This window comes from Homo sapiens, chromosome 7 (genome assembly GCF_000001405.40).
Source record: "Homo sapiens chromosome 7, GRCh38.p14 Primary Assembly".
NCBI classification, from domain to species: Eukaryota; Metazoa; Chordata; class Mammalia; order Primates; family Hominidae; genus Homo; species Homo sapiens.
This window is the reverse complement of record NC_000007.14, coordinates 21,337,781-21,361,647: the sequence shown is the minus strand read 5'-3', so window position 1 is coordinate 21,361,647 and position 23,867 is coordinate 21,337,781. Positions and strand designations below refer to the sequence as shown.

The 23,867-nt window shown below is 41.3% G+C and overlaps 5 annotated features.

The window, feature by feature from the left end:
• Positions 6,243–6,292: an enhancer, noted in NCBI's record as "active region_25697". NCBI's record gives its function as "activates an Ori minimal core promoter by ATAC-STARR-seq in GM12878 lymphoblastoid cells {active_cell/tissue: GM12878}" and the evidence as "EXISTENCE:reporter gene assay evidence [ECO:0000049][PMID:35858748]".
• Positions 8,357–8,566: an enhancer, noted in NCBI's record as "active region_25696". NCBI's record gives its function as "activates an Ori minimal core promoter by ATAC-STARR-seq in GM12878 lymphoblastoid cells {active_cell/tissue: GM12878}" and the evidence as "EXISTENCE:reporter gene assay evidence [ECO:0000049][PMID:35858748]".
• Positions 16,061–16,230: an enhancer, noted in NCBI's record as "active region_25695". NCBI's record gives its function as "activates an Ori minimal core promoter by ATAC-STARR-seq in GM12878 lymphoblastoid cells {active_cell/tissue: GM12878}" and the evidence as "EXISTENCE:reporter gene assay evidence [ECO:0000049][PMID:35858748]".
• Positions 22,470–22,670: a silencer, noted in NCBI's record as "peak6424 fragment used in MPRA reporter construct". NCBI's record gives its function as "represses an SCP1 promoter by STARR-seq MPRAs in K562 erythroleukemia cells {active_cell/tissue: K562}" and the evidence as "EXISTENCE:reporter gene assay evidence [ECO:0000049][PMID:32103011]".
• Positions 22,690–22,890: a silencer, noted in NCBI's record as "peak6423 fragment used in MPRA reporter construct". NCBI's record gives its function as "represses an SCP1 promoter by STARR-seq MPRAs in K562 erythroleukemia cells {active_cell/tissue: K562}" and the evidence as "EXISTENCE:reporter gene assay evidence [ECO:0000049][PMID:32103011]".

Sequence of the window (23,867 nt, the reverse complement as noted above, 5' to 3'; positions counted from 1 at the left end):
AAAGCCAAGATAGTGGAGAGAGGTATGTAGAAGAAGCATTTAGATCATAGGCACCAGAAAGCATTGTGATATGAATGAAGGTTAAAGGAGACAGGATGTGGCCAAATATGCTTTCATCTGTCAACACAGGTCAACTCAGCTAGAAAAGGTGTAAAATTATCAGACGACCTCAAGAAAATGATTAATCCAGGTGGACAGAAAGACTTCAAATGCAGAGCCACTATATTTTAGAAGAAAACCATTTTTGTTTGGATGATGTAATGGGTCCAGAGCCAAGTGACAAATTCCCAAGGGTTCTCAATTTTCAGAGCTGGTAGAGACACCAGTAGACAAAAAGGAGTGCACTGTAAAAGAGGGAGAAGTGAGGGAAAGCTGTAACAAGAAGATCAGGAAAATGAAATTTCCAAAGAACAGAGAAATAAGATAGCCCTTTTTTTTTTAATTTTTTTAATTTTTTATTTTTTTAGACAGTCTTCCTCTGTTGCCAGGCTGGAGTGCAGTGGCGCAATCTTGGCTCACTGCAACCTCCGCCTCCTGGGTTCAAGCGATTCTCCTGCCTCAGCTTCCCAAGCAGCTGGGACTACAGGTGAGCGCCACCACGTCCAGCTAATTTTTGTATTTTTAGTTGAGACGGGGTTTCACCATGTTGGGCAGGATGGCCTCGATCTCTTGACCTTGTGATCCACCTGCTTTGGCCTCCCAAGGTGCTAGGATTGCAGGCGTGAGCCACTGTGCACAGCCAAGATAGCACTTTTATACATGATTTGTGTTCCTATAGTTTATGCCCCTCTGCAGCAGGACACCAGCAATGAGAGAATACGAGCCATGTTGAGAACTCACACATAAAGGCTAACGTCAAAATAATAGGCAGCCTAAAAAGGGAAAGGATTGTACTACCTGGTAGTAGTGTAATGACAGGAGGTATTTTGTGTGGGGACACCTGACTATTTATTAGTTTAATTTGTATGTAAGTCAGTTACCCAAATATGGGTTTTCACTTTGCTCATATCAGGATGGTTCTGAAACTCTGAACCCCATACAAAGGGGAAGATTGTGTCTAGAAATTTCCCTCTATCCATCTAGCTCTGTGTAGTATAGCTAAGATTCACCCTAGATTGTTTCTATGATGCTGGGGCCAGTGTTTTGGGAATTACTGTAATATGATGGAGAGAGCACAGCTTTTAGTATCACAAAATGCTAGCACCACAAATTACTAGCTGTGATGTTCTGGACACATTTCTGATCTTCACTGAGCAACAGTTTCCTCTTCTGTAAGCTGGGAATAGTAACATAGCCACTCTTATTATTAGTTGATGGTGCATATTAGTGATAATTGGCAGAAAGTGCCTGGAGCAGAGCCTGATACATACATGCTACTCAAATGTGGTGCTATCTTTAGATATCTCTAAAAAATTCTATTACTACAAAACTTGTTATTGTCTTGATGTTTGAATATGCTATTTTTCTTTCTCCTAGGAAACAAGAAAAAGAATCTATCATTTGTCATATTTCTTTCTTGAGTACAGGTGATATCACCAGGATAATTTATCATGAGTACATTTTATTGTTTTTAGAGTAATTGTTTTTTTTTTTTTCTTTTTCCTTCCTATAGTGACACTGAAAGCAGGCTAAATTTTCTCATTTTTAATTGCAGGAATGGTTGGGCTATTTCTACTGGGCAGGTAAGAGCAAATTTCCCTCCCTTTACATGGCATAGAAAAAGAGACCACCAGTATTGTTCCACCAAGGACCATTTAAAATTATCCTTTAGATTCACCTTGGTTATAGATTTTAAAGTATAGAGGTAGTGACAAAAAGTATCTAAGACTGACAACCTAAATTTTCTCTTTCCTGTTCAAGGAGACTTCCTGACCAGAAGATATCTCAGCCATCTAATCCTTTTAAAATTTGTCAGTCCTACTGGTGAAAATAAAACATGTCAGATACCCCCATTTAACTCTGTCGCTTCTTTGACTAAATTTTTCACTTCCAATGTAATGACTTGTGGCAGAATTGAACAATTATATGAACTTCTTCTCTTGGCTTCAAGAAAAGGACTCCCATTTTATACTGGTCATATTTCTTTGCCCTCTTCTTCAGCAATTGAATGGTGGTTAGTGTTTAGTGAGAGTTGTCATTTTGAGTGCCCCATGCAGATTGCAATAATTCACTTGCAAAGTGTTTAAAAAAGACAGCAGATAAATCTCAAAAATTCTTCCCTTTCCCCCAGGGATTAGCTCTTGACACTCATAAGGGAACAGAGAAGATTACTTTCTGATATCTCTAGGAATTATGTGGCATCATACGGTGCTGCTCTTGAGGGGAAGAAAACAAACAAAGCTCAACCTCTTCTGTGGGGAAAAGAGCAGATCTATAAGCAAATCCCAATTTAGCTAAGAAAGAATATATCTTGATTTACAACAGTATAAACATCTGTATATAAATCTATATACATTTAATTTCATAACACACATACCCAGTTCCCTGACATTGAAGGAGCTTGTCTAGGAGTCCATTTATTGTACTTCACAGGCCCCAATAACTTCACTTTGCTTCCAGCAATCCCACAGAAGTGCACAAAATTGGATATGACATTGAGTAACCCAGATATTTTAGCCTTTTGCCAAAGAGCTGCTGAAATGTTTTTGTGTTAAGGCCGAGTCTCTTGTAATGATGGTTAACGACTGTAGGCTCTAACTAGACGTGGCCGTGGGTTACTGCTGCTCTGAGTGTGAGAAGAAAACCATAATTCATCCAATGTGGCTGTTTGCTGAGGACATGTTAGTATTGACAAATGGCAAACTGTTGTGCAAAAACCTGAGTAAGTTGCATGTAAATAGAGAGTGATCACTTCCTCTGACACACAGTTCTCCTGCACTGTTGAATACAGAGCATGGCAAACGAAGAAAATTAGAATCTGGTGACTGATTTCTTTACAAATGGAGAAGTGTCACTGTACAAGCCCCATAAAATAATGTTTTAAGTACAGTTGAGTATGGTCACTTAGATCACCTACATTAAAATTATAGTACCATAACTTTTTACTCTTAATGCTTCCTAATTCATACATTCATATAGGCATGCATACACTAATATGTGTGAAATCCTGCCATCTGTAAACCATTGGGTGAGACATTTTGTCAGGTATAAAGATGAATCAGGTACAGTCTCTGATCCCAGGAATTGGGAAGAGGTTGAGGCAAGAGGTTAAAAAATTCAAACCCAAAACTGTAACATAAGAGAGCTATTAAGAGCTAAATTCTTTCTGAGGTTCTTTTTTTTTTATTTTTTGAGACAGAGCTCACTCTGTCACTCAGGCTGGAATGCAGTGGCGCAATCTCAGCGCACTGCAACCCCTGCCTCCTGGGTTCAAGCGATTCTCCTGCCTCAGCCTCCTGAGTAGCTGGGACTACAGGTACACACCACCATGCCCAGCTAATTTTTGTATTTTTAGTAGAGACAGGGTTTCACCATGTTGGACAGGCTGGTCTCGGACTCCTGACCTCAAGTGATCTGCATGCCTCAGCCTCCCAAAGTGCTGGGGTTACAGGTGTGAGGCCACCACAGCTGATCTTCTCTCTAAAGTTCTAAAACAAAATTCCAAAAAAAGAGAATATGATTAATCAAGCTCATTGTTTGATGCCAAGCATGAAGTTACTCCTCAGGCTGACCACATCAACTGAGGTTGGGAGGGCAGTGTAGTAGAGATGGCAAATTGCCCAGCAAAATGTGTGTTCCCCTTCCACAATATAGAATTATCACTCAAAAGCACCTGTATTTACTCTTTTATCTAGTGGGGCCATTTAACCAGTTCTTGACAATGGAATGTGAGCAGAAATTTTTGTCACGTCTAAGTCAAGACAACTTAAACAGCTAATATGTGTTCTAAACTCTCTTTTCCCGTTTCCATAGACAAAGGGGCCCTAGAAAGTGGTGGAAACACAAGATTTAAAAAGCCTGGATCACTGAATCACCATGTGGAGAACAGCCACCAATATACCTGGAACACCTACTGTAGGTTATAACTGCTGAGTCTCAAATTCTATCACTAAGCTACTAACAATTGGAGGTTTATTTGCTATAGCACCTAGGATTATTTTGATCCTAAGTAGGGTTGCTTTAGCAAAGTACCAGAAACTGAGTGGCTTAAAGCAACAGAAAGTTATTTTCTCATGGTTCCAGAGGCTAGAACTCCAAAATCCAATTGTAGGCAGCACCATTCTCTGTCCAAAGGCTCTGGAGAAGTCCTTTGTTGCCTCTTTGTAGCTTCTGGTGGTTGCTGACAAGTCTTGTTCCTTAGCTTGCGTCACTCCTGTCTTTGCCTCTGTCATCACATGGCCTTCTTCCCTCCTTCTTTCCCTTCCTTCCCTCCTGTCTTCCTTCCCCAATGTTGTTGTACCTGGATCTCTGTCTCCTCTTCTATTAAGACACCAATCATGGGATTTAGGGCAACCTAATCCATGGTGACCTTGTCTTAACTAATTATACATGCAAAAACCCTATTTCCAAATAAGGTCCCATTTCTGAGGTTCCAAGCAGACTTGAATTTTGGGGGGACACTATTCAATTCAGTAAAGTTACCTAGTATAAAATGTGGCTCTGTAGAATGCCCCCTTAGCAGATAATATAGGCATGTTAAACACCATGATGGACACCTTATCAAAATTGCAAAAAAACCCAAAAAACAAAAAACAAACTTAATCTAACATGTTACAGAAAGAAGGAACAATAGCAAGAGTTAAGTTTGAAAGAGTTAGTACATTATTCTCTGGGTTCCATATCTTTTTCTGCATCAGTCACAGGCACCAGTAAGTGACAGTTGGAAGATCCTTGCTTTGAACTCACACAAACCCAGCTCTATCTTATTTCTTTGTTCAAAAAGAGTTAAGCAGATGTGATTTCTCCCTTTGTTGAACTTGCAGTTTAGCAGGGAAGTCATATATAAAATATTAATTATGCAAATAACTATTTAAGTGGGCTTGTACTAGATACTTTAAAGAAGAATACAGATGCATATGAGAGAAGACCTAACCCGGCCCACCTATAGAAGTACACCTAAGCCAAAACTTTGAGAGAGGTTTGCCATGTATAGGCAGGGCAGAGTGGCTCATGCCTGTAATCCCAGCACTTTGGGAGGCCGAGGCTGGCAGATCATTTGAGGTCAGGAGTTTGAGACAAACTTGGTCAACATAGTGAAATCCCATCTCTACTAAAAATACAAAAGTTAGCTGGGCATGACGGCAGGCACCTGTAATCCCAGCTACTCAGGAGGCCAAGGCAGAAGAATCACTTGAACCTAGGAGGCGGAGGTTGCAGTGAGCCGAAATTGCATCACTGCCTCACTGCACTCCAGCCTGGGTGACAGAGCGAGACTCCATCTCCAAAAAAAAAAAAAAAAAAGAGAGAGAGACTGAGGTTTGCCATGTATGTTTGTGCAGGTTGGGCACTGCACAACTCCAAGGGCATTTTTACATTGTGGTCTACGTGAATGGTGCTCCTGGGACTCTTGCAGCACACAATCTATAAAGCTGAATATGGTAGCCTTGCTTACTAATGGGTAGGAATTAGATACAGAATGTTAAGCAGATGTGTGTGTGTGTAGATGATGGTGGTGGTGGTGACAGGTTGAGAAAGTAGATAGGCATTCCAAGTAGAGGGAACAGCATATTACAAGACCCTCAGGTGGGAAGGTACTTTCTTTTCTTTGTTACCTGACATGCGGGCAATTATTCAGACTTTCACAACCCCAAATGTTTTATTGGTAAAACTGGGGAAAACAAGTTTCATGGCTACTTAACTTGCATTGTCATTGTGAAGCATTGAAGCTATGTAAGGAAGCACAGTGCTCAGCATAGTGCTCAGTCTCTGTGTTTCCTTCTTTCTATTTCCTAGAAGCAAGGTGAATTTGGGGTCACCAACGTGACACTTAATAAATAGCAGGTACTTGATTCACACCTCTATCATTAACACTCAAAAGTTCTAGGACTATTAGTGATTGCTAAATAAGGTTTGCTTTCCAGGCAGCTAGTGCAAGAAAGGAAGGCAGGTTTGGACAAAATTATCAAGTTACCTTAGCTGTGTGGTGACCAAAAAGGGAACTGAAATTATGACATTGTCCCTCCCACCGCACAGTCCACACCCTTCTCACCCACACCCATCTGATCTTATCTCCTGCCCAATCTGACATTTTGCTCTTTCAGGAAGCAAGTTATGCTGTTCTTTTCTTATGCCTCCAGTCTATTTTTTCAACACTTTAATTTTATGTTATTGTGGTAAAATATACAGAACATGAAGTTCACCATGTAAATCATTTTTAAGTATACGATTCAGTACTTTTAAGTATGTTCACAATGCTGTGTGACTGTCACCACTATCCATTTCCAGAACACGTTCATTATCCCAAACAGAACTCTATAACTATCAAACAACAACTTCATTCTTCTTCCCGCCAATGCCTGGAAACCTCTATTCTGTTTTCTGTCTCTGTGAATTTGCCTATTCTAGATACTGCAAATAAGTGGGATCATAGGTTTATTTCACTTAGCATAATGTCCTCAAGGTTCATCCATGTTGTAGCATGTCAGAATTTTCTTCCTTTTTATGGCTGAATAGTATTCCATTGTATGTATGTGTGACATTTTGTTTACCGCACTTTCTTTTGTACAATTATCTTATTGCAGTGCTATTGTTTTTGTATGTATTGTGTGAGCACCTGATGGCAGATGTGTAGGCAGAAGTTCTAAAGCGGCCCCCAGTGAAGTCCCTCCCGAGTCCCTGGGACTTCAGAATGTGCTATCATGCTTGAGATTATGTTTTGTTACAGAGGGAGACCAGCCTGGATTAGCCTGGTGGGCCCAATGTAATAACATACATCTTTAAAAATGGAGTTTTCTCTGGCTGATGACAATAGAGGCAGTCAGGTTTGAAGCACGATAGTCATTTGGCACTATTACTGCTTAAAGATTGAGGAGCCATGGGAAAAGGAATGTGAGTGGCTTCAAAGAGCTGAGGCAGGTCCCAGATCTCAGATGGAAAGCACTTCAGTCCTGTAACTGTAGGGTACTCTGTCATAACCTGAATGGGTTTGGAAGTGGATTTCTCCTCAGAGCCTACACTTAAGTTCCCAGCCCGGCTGACACCTGAATACTGGCCATGGGTGACCCTGAGCAGAAATTCCTGCCACACCAGGTTGTTCTCTGGTATACTGAGTGGGGAGGTAATAAATGCGTGTTGGTTTAAGTTGCGAGATTTGTGGGTGATTTGTTACTCAACAACAGAAAAGGACGACAGCGAGGACCCCATCTTTTCATGTTTGTGTTTAGCCCACTGCCTGGAACTGACTAACTTCCCAACAAACACTAACCAAGTAATCGATTGAAGGAGGCAGGAAGAAGGGATGATGGGTGGAAGAGAAAAGGAAGAACAAATGAAGAAAGAATGGATGAGGCGGCAGGATGGCTTGAGACTAGCCTAGCCCTAGAGATAGGGAGACCCTGTCTCTACAAAAAATGAAAAAAAAAAAAAAAATTAGCCAGGTGTGGTGTCATATGCCTGTAGTTGCAGCTACTAGAGAGGCTGAGGTGGGAGGATCGCTTGAGCCCAGAAGCTCCAGGTTGCAGTGAGCTATGATTGCACCACAGCACACCAGCCTGGGTAACAGAGCAAGACCCGGTCTCTAAAAAACAAAACAAAACAAAACCAAACCAAACCAAAGAATGGAATATGGAGGAAGCAAAAGGGAAAAAGGTAGAGACCAGATGTAGGGGAGGGCATTCAAAAGGGCTGAAAGTGAATGAGGGAAATTTTTCCAAAGAAATCTAGAATATTCTTCACCTTCTTCAGAAATTCAGATGGTTAATGCTTTTAAAATTTTTAGTATTCCAATTATTCAATTGTGTAAAGTAAGTATTTGTTTAGTGTCCTGTCAGCACAGATTGTAACTTGAATGAACAGAAATCTTGAATGTGGTTTTATTTTGATTAAGAACAACACTTATCTTCGATGTCTTAGGCACCCGTATAGTCAAGAATAGCCTGCTGGTAAAAGTCCCTGAGGGCAGTTAGTCAAGGAGGATTGGACATTAATATCTTTGGATTTTGAAGGAACTTATTGGAAGTAATTTCAATAAGTTCAATAATTGAACTCGTATGCCTCATTCTACTCTAAGAAAAGAAAAATGAGTCGATCCTTTGCATGATCACTTATCTGGATTTTAAATAGATGCACAAGCTTCTGATACCTAAAGTGTCACTTGTATCCTCATGTAAATAGCAGGATAATTTCCTTGACAGAAAATAGCTTCCTCATCCATGCATTACTGTCCTCATGATTTCAGCATTAGAGATTCATTTCTTTAGATTAAACATTGATCTTGACCCTTGTGAAATGCAGCTATGTTACCAGAAGGAGTAAGCTGTAAGTTCATTAACCTTTAAACATTAATGAAACATATCAGATGATTTTTCTCTCCCTTGCACAAGAGCAGTGAGAATCTGGTCATATGGGGGAACACTAAAGAGGAACTAACATCAAAGTCAAATTTACTTTCTTAGAAATTCTGTGTAGCTCAAGCCCTGTCTGGAAAGCTTATAACTGAGTTCCAGTTTCGATTTCACTGGACTGATCTGCTGCATGCTCAAAGGTATATTCAAATGTCAAGGCAAGGACAGTTGCTATAGAGCTTAGTTCCTTCTTTCATTTGATTAGACACATAAAGGGGTCATGTTCATCAACATGTTTATTTTTTTTAAATGACAGAATGACAACCTCAACAAGCTGAAGAAAAATTGGGATATCCTCGGGCATGTAACTGAAGGGTACAGAAGAGCTGCTGACTTCCAACAGAGATGGGGGTTCTTGTGCCACATGTCATTATCGAAAGCCTCAGCCTCTCTGTTCTGCTTTCTTGTTTCCTCTCTTTTTCTCTGTCTTGTCTTTTTCTCTGTCTTGTTTCCTCTCTGTCTTTTGCTCTGACTCCTTTCTCCTCCCCAGCCATCCAATCTTCTCTCTCTACATGTCTCCGCTCTGCTTTTCCCTATGTTGCCTTTATTCTCTGAAAATGTCTTTCCTCTGGTAAAATACATGGTACCCTACACTGCTCCAGGGATACATTGTTAGTGCCATAGCCTACAGTTGGTTAGAGAAAGGGTACAGCACAAGTCCAGAGGATGAGCCTGATTGGCCGAAGTTGGCTGACTTTCCCATCCCTGCAATCCTTCTAAATAGGAAGATATGTTCCCTGTTTCCCATAGAGGCGAGGGCTTCTTTTACCAGAAGAGGTGAAAGGAAAAGGCTTTATGCAGATGAATCCATGACTTCCACAGTCTATTTCAGGGTTCTAGTTGGATTGGTGGGTTTAATGAACACTGTACTTCATTGCTTCACAGTGGATGGCAACATTTCTATTTCACATTGATGTTACATTTTTTGAAAATTTGTATAGCAGAGGTGGAAGAGGAGAAAGAGGTGGAGGGGAAGAAAGCAACGCTATAATTCTATTTATTGTCTATTCGAAGAATACAACAGCTGAATCATTGTCCTTCAAATTATTATTTTTTTAAAGAAAAAGCCCTTTTCAAAACTAGAAATGTGTTATTTTTGATAAAGTTGGAGATCCAAATTCCAATTTTACTGCTGCATTATCAGAGTTAAAAGGTAGTCACATCTGGTTAAGGATTGAGTGCCGAAATAAAATTTGTAAAACAAAATGAAAAGTTCTAGGCTTGGTTTGACTCCAACTCTTTAAGAGATCTTTGTTGCTTAATCATTATCTATTTATTTAATTAATTAATTAATTTATTTATTTATTTTTGAGACGGAGTCTCACTTTTTCGCTCAGGCTGGAGTGCCGTGGTGCAATCTCAGCTCACAACAACCTCTGCCCGGGGGTTCAAGCAATTCTCCTGCCTCAGGCTCCCAAGTAGCTGGGATTACAGTTGCGCACCATCACGCCTGGCTAATTTTTAGCCACCATACCCAGCTAATTTTTGTATTTTTTGTAGAGACGGGGTTTTGCCATGTTTCCCAGGCTGGTGTCAAACTCCCGGCCTCAAGTGATCTGCCAGCCTTGACCTCCCAAAGTGCTGGGATTACAGGCGTGAGCCACTGTGCCTGGCCTCATTTTTTAAAATGAAAAAAAAAAAAAAATATATATATATATATATACATACATATATATATAAGTATTAGCGACCATTTATGACACTAATGATGGTCAAAGACCTCTACACATACAAGCTTCGCATTATAAAGTTTCTAATGCAGAAAAATGTGGATTCTAGTCATCTTTTCTCACTTGGATGCATTTCTTGAGGACTTGCTGAGTAATGTATTTGGTACACTCTTGGTGTTGGCTACAAACAGGTAAGGAGAGAGACGGCATGACCATTCCCACAAAGTCAGTGAAATAAAAGACAGTCTTCCCAGGGACGACACAGTAGAGCCCCTCCCACTACTTTCTTACTTGTTATTATTGTTTATTTTTTTCAGGAAGCCCCAGTTGTCAGGCGTGGTGGCTCATGCCTGTAATTCCGGCACTTTGGGAGGCTGAGGCAAGCAGATAGCTTGAGCTCAGGAGTTCAAGACCAGCCTAGGAAACATGGCAAAACTCCATCTGTACAAAAAATACAAAAATTAGCTGGGTATGGTGGTGCAAGCCTGTAGCTACTTAGGAGGAGGCTGAGGTGGGAGGATCACCTGACCCTGGGGAGGTCGAGGCTACAGTGAGCAGTGTTCATGCCACTGCACTCCAGCCTGGGCATGAATGAGGTCCTGTTTCAGAAAACAAAAAACAAAAGAAAAACCCAGAAGCCTCAGCCCCAGTCAAAAAACTTTTAAAGTCCAATAGACATAAAATTACTGCTAAAACAATTTCTAAACGTTTGGTCTCACGTACTTTGGGTAGTACTGACAAAGATCATTGCTGTCTGTCATGCCAGACCCTTACACTGACTACAATAGGGATGATACTGTGTCTGAGAGGCTGAAGAAGAGACCCAGAGATAGTGAATGAGACATAGGGTTTATTGGGGGTACTTACGTACAGGGGTGGCCCAGTGGATGTGGGCTGAACAGGAGAACCTCTACTGTTTGTAAAAAGCATGCAGTTGACATGGCATTTTTTACTTAGCACCGTCTACCTAGAAACCTCCATTTAACCCAAAACAAAGGACCTCAATATCCGGTATGACCTGTGTTCTAAGGGCTGGGAATTTAATCATCCTTCATAGATAAGGAGTAAATCTCTGGGTTGGCCACTCCCGTATTCCTTAGCACAGAACTCCGAACACACATTCTTCTTAGACCATAGGGTCACCCTTCAGGGTATGTGTAAGTTAAGTTATTGCTGTCAGGTGCATCTGCCATACACTGTCTCGCTTTTAAATATATGATAATTTTGAAAGAATTTCAAGCTTTTCAAAGTTACAAAAATAGTACAGATTTCCCATACACCTTTCACCCAGCTTGCCCTAATATTAACTTCTTATATAACCAGAGTACAATGATCAAACTAGGAAATTAACATTGGTATAGTACAATACTATTAAGTAAATTACAGATTTCATTTAGATTTCCCCAGTTTTTTATCTAATATCCTTTTTTTCTGTCCCAGGATCCAATCCAGGATCCCACGTTTTGTAGTCATGTCTCCTTGATTTTTTCCAGTGGGTGACAGTTTCTCAGTCTTCCCTTGTCTTTTGTAACCTGGACACTTTTGAAGAGTATTGGTCAGTGATTTTGTAGAATGTCTCTTGATTTGGCATTGATTAAGACATGATGTCTTGGCCAGGCATCGTGGTTCATGCCTGTAATCCCAGCACTTTGGGAGGCAGAGGAGGGTGGATCACCTGAAGTCAGGAGTTCAAGACCAGCCTGGCCAACATGGTGAACCCTGTCTCTACTAAACAGTACAAAAATTAGCCGGGCATGGTGAAAAGCGCCTGTAATCCCAGCTACTCAGGGGGAGACAGGAGAATCGTTTGAACCCGGGAGGTGGAGGTTGCAGTGAGCTGAGATTGTGCCACTGCACTCCAGCCTGGGCAAGGAGAGTGAAACTCCGTCTCAAAAAAAAAAAAAAAAAAAAAAAAAGGACATGATGTCTTAATTCTGATGATTTTATCCTTGATTGTTTGGTTAAGTTGGTGTCTGCTGGGTTTCTTCACTGCGTTAGTCCATTCTCACACTGCTATGAAGAAATACCAGAGACTGGGTAATTTATAAAGAAAAGAGGTTTAATTGACTCACAGTTCCACATTGGTGGGGAGGCCTCAGGAAACTTACAATCATGGCGGAAAGCAAAGGGGAAGCAAGTACCTTCTTCACAAGGCTGCAGGACAGAGTGAGTTTCAGCAGGGGAACTGCCAGATGCTTCTAAAACCATCAGATCTCGTGCTCCCATGATTCAGTGACCTACTGGGTCACTCCCATGACACGTGGGGGTGATGGGGATTACAATTCAAGATGAGATTCGCATGGGGACACAGCCAAACCATATCATCCACTATAAAGTAACTATTTTTTCCCTTTATAATTAATAAATGTCTTGGAGGAGTTATGTTAAGACTATGCAGATATCCTGTTTCTCCTCAAATTTTGCTGATTTTGGCATCTCTTCAAATTTTGCTAAAATTGATAGATCATGTCCATGTTAGTGATTACATATTATTTTGTTGTTTAAAGAGACTCAGGGAGAGAGATCACGAATTATTAACTGGAGTGCTCTGTAAAGAACAACCCCTTCTTAATTTGTTTATATGTTAAATTATTTATTTTTATTGGTAGAGAGTTACAGGTATTTATTCCATTCTGTGAGTTATGATCCAATTTTTTTTATTTTTAAATTAAGTGTAAAGACAGGGGCTTGCTCTGCTGTGCAGGCTGGAGTGCAGTGGTTCGATGGTAGCTCATTGCAGCCTCAAAATCCTGGACTCAAGCGACCCTCCCAACTTAGCCTCCCAAGTCACTAGGACTACAGGCATCCAGCTAAGTTTTCTTTGTTTTTTGTTTTTTTTTGAGATGGAGTCTCACTCTGTCACCCAGGCTGGAGTACAGTGGCATAATCTCGGCTCACTGCAACCTCCGCCTCCCGGGTTCAAGCTATTCTCCTGCCTCAGTCTCCCGCCAGCTAAGTTTTTTAAAAAAAAATTTGTAGAGACTGTGTCTCACTATGTTGCCCAGGCTGCTATTGAATTTCTGGCCTCAAGTGATCCTCCTGTCTCGAACTCCCAAAGTGTTGGCATTACAGGCGTGAGCTACCATGCCTAGCCCAAAATTCTTATCATTTATTTTGTTGCTGAAACTGTTCCAGCTTTGGTTACTGGCCGCTACAAAAAGAAAACACCTTGTTTTTTCTATATTCACAACACTTCTGACACCAAATGTGTAGTCTTTTCCCTCACATTAACTAATTCTCTAACTCTCTAGACAACAACTTGGTATCCTACAATTCAATTATGATACTACCTTGAGCTACCACAGACCTCATGGGTTAAAAGCTCAGTCCTGTTACGGTAGGTAGGTGGTCAGACATCAGCAGGATAGGAAAGGCCCCTCCCACCACCAGGAATGTCAGGTACCCATCAGGTGATGGTCAGGTGGTTGTTAACTGTCACTCTAAAATAATAATTGGTCACAGCTGGTGCCAGGGAATGATCGTCTCCCAATAGATAGTAAAAACCTGAAACTGGGTGATCAGCAGGTTCCTGATAAGATCTCAGGAGCTGGATGAGTGGGCTCAAGCATGTGCACTAAGAGTCAAAATGGTGGAGTTTAACTGGTATATGTCCTTCTAGGGACATTTGACTGGTAAGGGATGAATGCCTCAAGTGAGCATGCATACACCTCCAGTAAACACACTGTGCATGCTCCCCTCCCAAGTGCTAGCAGGCCACTGCGTGTGATGACAGCCCATCCCAAGGGAAGAATCAGGGAAGAAGGAACACAAGACCCTGGAAGTACACCCACATATAAAACCATTAATCAAAGGTCAAAACTGTGCAGTGGTCTTTCAAGTTGCCCACTTGGCCCTACTTTCCTTTTGTTCTGGCTCTAAAGCTTTCTAATAAACTTTCATTCCTGTTCTAAAACTTGTCTCAGTATCTCCTTCTGTCTTATGCCTCCTTGGTTGAATTCTTTCTTCCGAGGAGGCAAGAATTGAGGTTGCTGCAGATCTATACAGATTCACCATGGCTAATGTATTTTGATGCTGTGTGATTCAGATACCTTTGGCTGCTAATGTTTGGCTGCCACAAGGCTGTCCCCCACTTTAGATGTCATTCACAAGTAGTGATTCCTAAGTTATGTGCACTTCTCTCCAACTTGGCTACAAATCAGGGCTTCTCACAACCCTCTCCTCAATTTGCTATAATATCTCACAGAATTCAGGGAAATGCATACTCTTTACTGGTTTATTATAAAAGGTACAACTTAGGAACAACCAAATGGAACAGATGCATAAAGCAAGCTATAGGGGTACATGGGGTTTTGAACCCCTATGCCCTATGTACACCAGCACCTGGATATGTTCAGGAATCTGGAAGCTCTCTGACCTCTTCAGTTAGGGTTTTTATGGAGGCTTCCTTATATAGGCACGACTGATTAAATTACTGGCCATTGGTGATTAACTCAATCTGCAGTCCCTCTTCCTCCCAAAAGGTCAGGGCTTGGGGATGAAAGTTCCAACCCTTTAATTACTTGGCTGGTCTTCCTGGGAACCAGCTCCCCATCCTAAGGGGTTACCCCAAAGCCACCTTAGTAAAGCATAAACTCTATGTGGTTGAAAGGGGCCTGTTAAAAATAACAAAATATGTGGCTTTCACCTTTATTGGTCTGAGCTATTTTAGGAACTGGGAGCAAGGATCAAATATTACGACAAAAGATGCTCCTCTGGCTCCTATCACTTAGGAAATTACAGGAGTTCTAGGGTCTCTGGCCAGGAGCCAAGGGTTAAGACAAAAAAAAAATCTTATTATATCACAATATCACAGATGCTCTCTCACATTGCACTGTTTCCCCTCTTATGACTAGGAGTGAAGGAATGGAAGGGAATTATATGTTTTTCATGCAGTAGTGGGCCATCTGAGAAGCACTGTGTAGAAGTTTCTCATGCAGTTCTCACCACAGCCCTATGAAGTATGCATCAGTATCTCTAGTCAACATGGATTATGGATCTCAGGCAGCCTGACCAAGACCACAAAGCAAATTTGGGTATAAATAGGATTTAGACCTGGGCCTGTCTGACTTTGGAGCCTCTTTCTCATACACCAGACTGCTTTGCTTTAAGGACTCAGGCCTTTCTTTGGGGAATTGGTCTAGTAAGTGAATGCTTAGTATGTGTACTCTATCACTTCCCTCCCCCTCTCTCTTTTCCCAAGCCTCTTTTCTCTCTTCCCCAGAGGGACTGGAGTCTTAGAATCACAAACTATGAGGGCTGTAGGGGATCTTAGAAAAATTCTCTTCCAAATCTCTTACAACATAAGTGAGGAAAATGTGGCTCAACCTGGGGATATAGCTAGATATTAAGCTTTGATTGGATCCCAGGACCCCTGACTTATAATCCAATATTCTCTCCCTCAAATTACCAGAGCCAAGCTCTGTGCAGATAGAGTCTGTCTTCTTTCTCTGAGCTTGGAGAAAGGCATTTCGGAATCTGAAGATTTTCCGAGCACATCAGAACTATAGAGAGGGATTCCCGGGCAAGATGGCCGAATAGGAACCGCTCCGGTGTGCAGCTCCCAGTGAGACCAAAGCAGAAGGCGAGTGATTTCTGCATTTCCAACTGAGGTACCCAGTTCATCTCATAGGGACTGGTTAGACAGTGGGTGCAGCCCATGGACAGTCAGCAGAAGCAGGGTGGGGCATCGCCTCACCTGGGAAGCTAAAGGGGTTGAGGAACTCCCTTCCCTAGCCAAGGGAAGCCATGAGGGACCCTGCCGTGAGGGATGGTGCACTCTTTATTTACACTGTGGGGGGAAAACCGCCTACTCAAGCCTCAGTAAAGGTGGTCGCCCCTCCCCCGACCAAGCTCCAGTGTCCCAGGTTGATTTCAGACTGCTGTGCTGGTAGCGAGAATTTCAGGCCAGTGCTGATACTACACTTTTCCCAGGTGTTACTACACTTTTCCCACGGTCTTCGCAACCAGATACTACACTTTTCTCACGGTCTTCGCAACCCTCAGACCAGGAGATTCCCTCAGGTGCCTATGCCACCAGGGCCCTGGGTTTCAAGAACAAAACTGGGCAGATTTTGGGCAGACACTGAACTAGCTGCAGGAGTTTTTTGTTTTTTGTTTTTTTTTCATACCCCAGTGATGCCTGGGACACCAGCAAGACAGAATCATCCACTCGCCTGGAAAGGGGGCTGAAGCCCGGGAACCAAGTGGTCTAGCTCAGCAGATCCCACCCCCACAGAGTCCAGCAAGCTAAGATCCATTAGCCTGAAATTCTCACTGCCGCAGAGCAGTCTGAAGTCGACCTGGGACACTGGAGCTTGGTGCGGGGAGGGGCATCTATCATTACTGAGGCTTGAGTAGGCGGTTTTCCCCTCACAGTGTAAATAAAGCAGCTGGGAAGTTCGAACAGGGCAGAGGGAAGTTTGAACTGGGTGGAGCCCACTGCAGCTCCCCAAAGCTGCCGGAGCCAGACTGCCTCTCTAGATTCCTCCTCTCTGGGCAGGGCATCTCTGAAAGAAAGGCAGCAGCCCCAGTCAGGGGCTTATAGATAAAACTCCCATTTCCCTGGGACAGAGCACCTGGGGGAAGGGGCAGCTGGGGGCACAGCTTCAGCGGAATTAAACATCCCTCCTTGCTGGTTCTGAAGAGAGCAGCATATCTCCCAGCACAGCGTTCAAGCTCTGCTAAGGGACAGACTGCCTCCTCAAGTGGGTCCCTGACCCCTGTGCCTCCTGATGGGGACACACCTCCCAGCAGGGGTCAACAGACACCTCATACAGGAGAGCTCTGGCTCACATCTGGCCGGTGCCCCTCTGGGAGGAAGCTTCCAGAGGAAGGAGCAGGCAGAAATCTTTGCTGTTCTGCAGTCTCTGCTGGTGATACCCAGGCAAAGAGGGTCTGGGGTGGACCTCCAGCAAACTCCAGCAGACCTGCAGAAGAGGGGCCTGACTGTTAGAAGGAAGACTAACAAATAGAAAGCAATAGCATCAACATCAACAAAAAGGACAACCACACAGAAACCCCATCCGAAGGTCACCAACATCAAAGACCAAAGGTAGATAAATCCAAAAAGATGAGGAAATACCAGAGCAAAAGGTTGAAAATTCCAAAAACCAGAACGCCTCTTCTCCTCCAAAGGATCACAACTCCTTGCCAGCAAGGGAATAAAACTGGATGGAGAATGAGTTTGATGAATTGACAGAAGTACGCTTCAGAAGGTGGGTAATAACAAACTCCTTCAAGCTAAAGCAGCATATTCTAACCCAATGCAGGGAAACTGAGAACCTTCATATAACATTACAGGAACTGCTAACTAGAATAACCAGTTTAGAGAAAAACATAAATGACGGATGGAGCTGAAAAACACAGCATGAGAACTTCGTAAGGCATACACAAGCATCAATAGCAGAATCAAACAAGTGGAAGAAAGGATATCAGAGATTGAAGATGAACTTAATGAAATAAATCACGGAGACAAGATTAGAGAAAAAAGAATGAAAAGGAACAAACAAAGCCTCCAAGAAATATGGGACTATGTGAAAAGACCAAACCTACTTTGATTGGTGTACCTGAAAGTGACGAGGAGAATGGAACCAAGTTGGAAAACACTCTTCAGGATATTATCCAGGAGAACTTCCCCAACCTAGCAAGACAGGCCAACATTCAAATTCAGGAAAATACAGAGAACGCCACAAAGATACTCCTTGAGAAGAGCAACCCCAAGACACATAATAGTCCGATTCACCAAGCTTGAAATGAAGGAAAAAATGTTAAGAGCAGCCAGAGAGAAAGGTTGAGTTACTCACAAAGGGAAGCCAATCAGACTAACAGTGGATCTCTCTGTAGAAACCCTCTAAGCCAGAAGACAGTGGCGGCCAATATTTAACATTCTTAAAGAAAAGAATTTTCAACCCATGACTTCATATCCAGTCACCACCAGCACTGCCTTACAAGAGCTCCTGAAGGAAGCACTAAATATGGAAAGGAAAAACTGGCACCAGCCACTGCAAAAACATGCCAAAATGTAAAGACCATCAACACTATGAAGAAACTGCATAAACTAATGGGAAAAATAACCAGCTAGCATCATAATGACGGGATCAAATTCACACATAACAATATTAACCTTAAATGTAAATGGGCTAAATGCCCCAATTAAAAGACACAGACTGGCAAATTAAATAAAGAGTCAAGGCCCATCAGTGTGCTGTATTCAGGAGACCCATCTCACGTGCAAAGACACACATAGGCTCAAAATAAAGGGATGGAGGAAGATTTACAGAGCAAATGGAAAGCCAAAAAAAGCAGGGGTTGCAATCCTAGTCTCTGATAAAACAGACTTTAAACCAACAAAGATCAAAAAAGACAAAGAAGGGCATTACATAATGGTAAAGGGATCAATGCAACCAGAAGAACTAACTACCCTAAATATATATGCACCCAATACAGGAGCACCCAGATTCATAAAGCAAGTTCTTAGAGACCTACAAAGAGACTTAGACTCCCACACAATAAAAGTGGGAGACTTTAACACCCCACTGTCAATATTAGATCAATGAAACAGAAAATTAACAAGGATATTTAGGACTTGAACTCAGCTCTGGACCAAGCAGACCTAGTAGACATCTACAGTACTCTCCACCCCAAATCAACAGAATATACATTCTTCTCAGCACCACATTGCACTTATTCTAAAATTGACCACATAATTGGAAGTAGAGCACTCCTCAGCAAATGCAAAAGGACAGAAATCACAACAAACAGTTTCTCAGACCACAGTGCAATCAAATTAGAACTCAGGATTAATAAACTCACTCAAAACCGCACAACTACATGGAAACTGAACAACCTGCTCCTGAATGACTACTGGGTAAATAACAAAATGAAGGCATAAATACAGAAGTTCTTTGAAACCAATGAGAACAAAGACACAGCATACCAGAATCTCTGGGACACAGCTAAAGCAGTGTTTAGAGGGAATTTACAGCACTAAATGCCCACAGCAGAAAGCGGGAAAGATCTAAAATCGACACCCTAACATCAAAATTGAAAGAACTAGAGAAGCAAGAGCAAACAAATTCAAAAGCTAGCATAAGACAAGAAATAATTAAGACCAGGGCAGAACTGAAGGAGATAGAGACATGAAAAGCCCTTCAAAAAATCAATGAATCCAGGAGCTGGTTTTTTGAAAAGATTAACAAAATAGATAGATCACTAGCCAGACTAATAAAGAAGAAAAGAGAGAATAATCAAATAGACATAATAAAAAATGATAAAGAGGAGGATATCACCACTGATCCCACAGAAATACAAACTATCATCACATCAGAGAATACTATAAACACATCTATGCAAATAAACTAGAAAATCTAGAAGAAATGGATAAATTCCTGGACACATACACCCTCACAAGTCTAAGCCAGGAAGAAGTCAAATCCCTGAATAGACCAATAACAAGTTCTAAAATTGAGGCAATAATTAATGGCCTACCAACTAAAAAAAGCCCAGGACCAGATGGATTCACAGCCGAATTCTACCAGAGGTACAAAGCGGAGCTCATACCATTCCTTCTAAAACTATTCCAAACAACACAAAAAGAGAGACTCCTCCCTAACTCATTTTATGAGGCCAGCATCATTCTGATACCAAAGCCTGGCAGAGACACAACAAAAAAAGATAATTTCAGGCCAATACCCCTGATGAACACCGATGCAAAAATCCTCAATAAAATACTGGCAAACCGAATCCAGCAGCAGCACATTAAAAAGCTTATCTACCACGATCAAGTCGGCTTCATCCCTGGAATGCAAATCTGGTTCAACATACGCAAATCAATAAACATAATTCATCACATAAACAGAACCAATGACAAAAACTACATGATTATCTCAATAGATGGAGAAAAGGCCTTTGATAAAATTCAACACCCCTTCATGCTAAAACCTCTTAATAAACTAGACATTAATGAAATATATCTCAAAAATAAGAGCTATTTATGACAAACTCACAGCCAATATCATACTGAATGGGCAAAAAGCTGGAAGCATTCCCTTTGAAAACTAACACAAGACAAGGATGCCCTCTCTCACCACTCCTATTCAACATAGTATTGGAAGTTCTGGCCAGGGCAATCAGGCAAGAGAAAGAAATGAAGGGTATTCAAATAGAAAGAGAGGAATTCAAATGATCTCTGTTTGCAGATGACAAAATTGTATATTTAGAAAACCCCATTGTCTCAGCCCAAAAACTTCTTAAGCTGATAAGCAACTTCAGCAAAGTCTCAGCATACAAAATCAATGTGCAAAAATCACAAGAATTCCTATACACCAATAATAGAGAGCCAAATCATGAGTGAACTCCCATTCACAATTGCTACAAAGAGAATAAAATACCTAGGAATATAACTTACAAGGGATGTGAAGGACCTCTTCAAGGAGAACTACAAACCACTGCTCAAGGAAAGAAGAGAGGGAACAAACAAATGGAAAAACATTCCATGCCCATGGATAGGAAGAATCAATATTGTGAAAATGGCCATACTGCCCAAAGTAATGTATAGATTCAATGCTATTCCCATCAAGCTACCATTGACTTTCTTCACAGAATTAGAAAAAACTACTTTAAATTTCATATGGAACCAAAAAAGAGCCTGCACAGCCAAGACAATCCTAAGTAAAAAGAACAAAGCTGGAGGCATTACAATACCTGCCTTCAAACTATACTACAAGGCTGCAGTAACCAAAACAGCATGGTACTGGTACCAAAACAGCTATATAGACCAGTGGAACAGAACAGAGGCCGAAGAAATAACACCACACATCTACAACCATCTGATTTTTGACAAACCTGACACAAACAAGCAATGGGGATAGGATGCTCTGTTTAATAAATGGTGCTGGGAAAAATGGCTAGCCATATGCAGAAAACTGAAATTGGACCCCTTCCTTGCAACTTATACAAAAATTAACTCAAGATGGATTAAAGATTTAAATGTAAGACCTAAAACTACAAAAACTCTAGACAAAAACCTAGGCAATACCATTTAGGACATAGGCATGGGCAAAGACTTCAAGACTAAAACACCAAAAGCAATGTCAATAAAAGCCAAAATAGACAAAAGGGATCTAATTAAATTAAAGAGCTTCTGCACAGCAAAAGAAACTATCAGCAGAGTGAACAGGCAACCTACAGAATGGGAGAAAATTTTTGCAATCTATCTATCTGACAAAGTGCTAATATCCAGAATCTACAAGGAACATAAACAAATTTACAAGAATAAAACAAACAACCCCATCGAAAAGTGGGCGATGGATATGAACAGACACTTCTCAAAAGAAGACATTTATGCAGCCAACAAACATGAAAAAAAAGGTCATCATCACTGGTCATTAGAGAAATGCAAAACAAAACCACAATGACATACCATCTCATTCCAGTTAGAATGGTGATTATTAAAAAGTCAGGAAACTACAGATGCTGGCAAGGATGTGGAGAAATAGGAAGGCTTTCACACTGTTGGTGGGAGTGTAAATTAGTTCAACCATTATGGAAGACAGTGTGGTGATTCCTTAAGGATCTAGAACCAGAAATACCATTTGACCCAGCAATCCCACTACTGGGTATGTACCCAAAGGATTATAAATCATTCTACAATAAAGATACATGCACATGTATGTTTATTGCAGCACTATTCACAATGACAAAGACTTGGAATCAACCCAAATGCCCATCAATGATAGACTGGTTAAAGAAAATGCGGCACATATACACCATGGACTACTATGCAGCCATAAAAAAGAATGAGTTCATGTGTTTTGCAGGAACATGGATGAAGCTGGGAACCATCATGCTCAGCAAACTAACATAGGAACAGAAAACCAAACACTGCATGTTCTCACTCATAAGTGGGAGATGAACAATGAGAACACAAGCACACAGGGAGGGGAACATCACACATCAGGGCAATGGGAGGGATGGGGGGGCAATGGGAGGGATAACATTAGGAGAAATACCTAATGTAGATGATGGGTTGATGGGTGCAGAAAACCACCATGGCACACGTATGCCTATGTAACGTTTGGCATGTTTGGCAAATGTACCCCAGAACTTAAAGTATAATAATTTTAAAAATTAAAAAAAAAAACTATAGAGAAACTGGTAGCTGCACTGGCAAAAACAAGGATGGTACCATTCATTGATTGAGCACCTAGGTCCCTAGGGTACTAGAGCAGGGGCTTTACATCTATGCTATCTGTGATCCACATGACAAAAGTACATGACTATTATTATTATACTCATTTTGCTGAAGAGGAAGCTGAGATAAGAGAGGCCAAGCTACTCGGTTAAGATCATATCATAAGTGTTAACACCACTTCGTGTGATTCAAGCGGCACTCAACATGGGAAGTGGGTGGTTCCTGAAAGAGGTTATAAGGTCTTATCAGGCAGAAAGAGCGTGACACTGGGTGCAAAGGAGAGGCAGAGTTCTGTAGTTTTTGGAACTTCTGGTGTTACTGGGAAAGTCTGTTTTTACACCAAGCTGGGGTTCTGGGTAAGGTTTTTAGCTTTAAGGAGAGTGACAAAGACAGGAAATTACAGAATGGTGGATGAAAGCTAGGGCTGTTGAGTGAGTCACATCTGGGCTAGAGATGAGAATGACAATGATCTGCTTCCTTGTGCAAAGTACCTGACCTCTTTGAATGGCAACATTCTCATCTGTCAAATGGGAGTAACAGACATATCTCCCTCATAAGGTTCTGTCAGAATTAACTGATGTAATATATGTAAAAATATTCCAAAATGCCCCAGTGATGTAAATTTCAGATATCGTGTAATTGGCAATTGTCTCCCTGGCTCTGGAGCTCCCATCTGCCTGGCTACAATTTGGCCGGCTCAGATCATTTTACCAACCTGGCAATAACCTAGCATTTTACATGGTTGAATTTCGGGTGGAGATTTACTCAACGATGCTTGATACATTGCAAATCTTTATAAAATGTATAATAGTAATAATAATAACAATAAAAGAAGAAAGAAAGAGAAAAAAAGAAAATTAATCAGAGGACCAAGCCTGAGTTCCTAAATATGGTTCCCAATTTAGAAAGAAGCCCTCACCTATTTCCGCAAAGCCATGAGGATTTTAATTCAGGAGAGCCACAGGAGCCCAGCAATCAGTTCTGGGATTCTCAGGCTGTTTATATCCTCTTTGTCTGATGTGGAGAATAGCACAGGAAATACAGGCTGACCCTTCATGAAGGGAAGCCAGCGCACCTGGGGGCCGTTGAAAAATAGACCTAAAAGAAATGAGATAAAGATTGATAAGTCCCTCAGTGCTAAAGACATTTTAAACCAGGGAGATGTTAAAAGGGTTAAAACGATTCCATATATCACAGTACAAACTCTCCTGACAATATTTTTGAAGCTTCTTGACAATTGCCCGAATAGAATTAATACTCGATTGTACATAATCTGCCTAATACAAATCTGTTTCAATTGTGGCATTTTAAAAGTTATTTCTAGTACTTCAAATAGCTTAAAAGGAGAGTTTTCTTTTGTACAGCTAAATCACAATAATTGGTTTAAAACTGAATGGAAATGCACTGATTATCAATTAAGCAATGGGATTGATAAAAGCATGGCACTTGGTTGTTTTCAAGCTTTTTCTTTCTTCCTGATACTCCGTATTTACTTCTATCAATCTA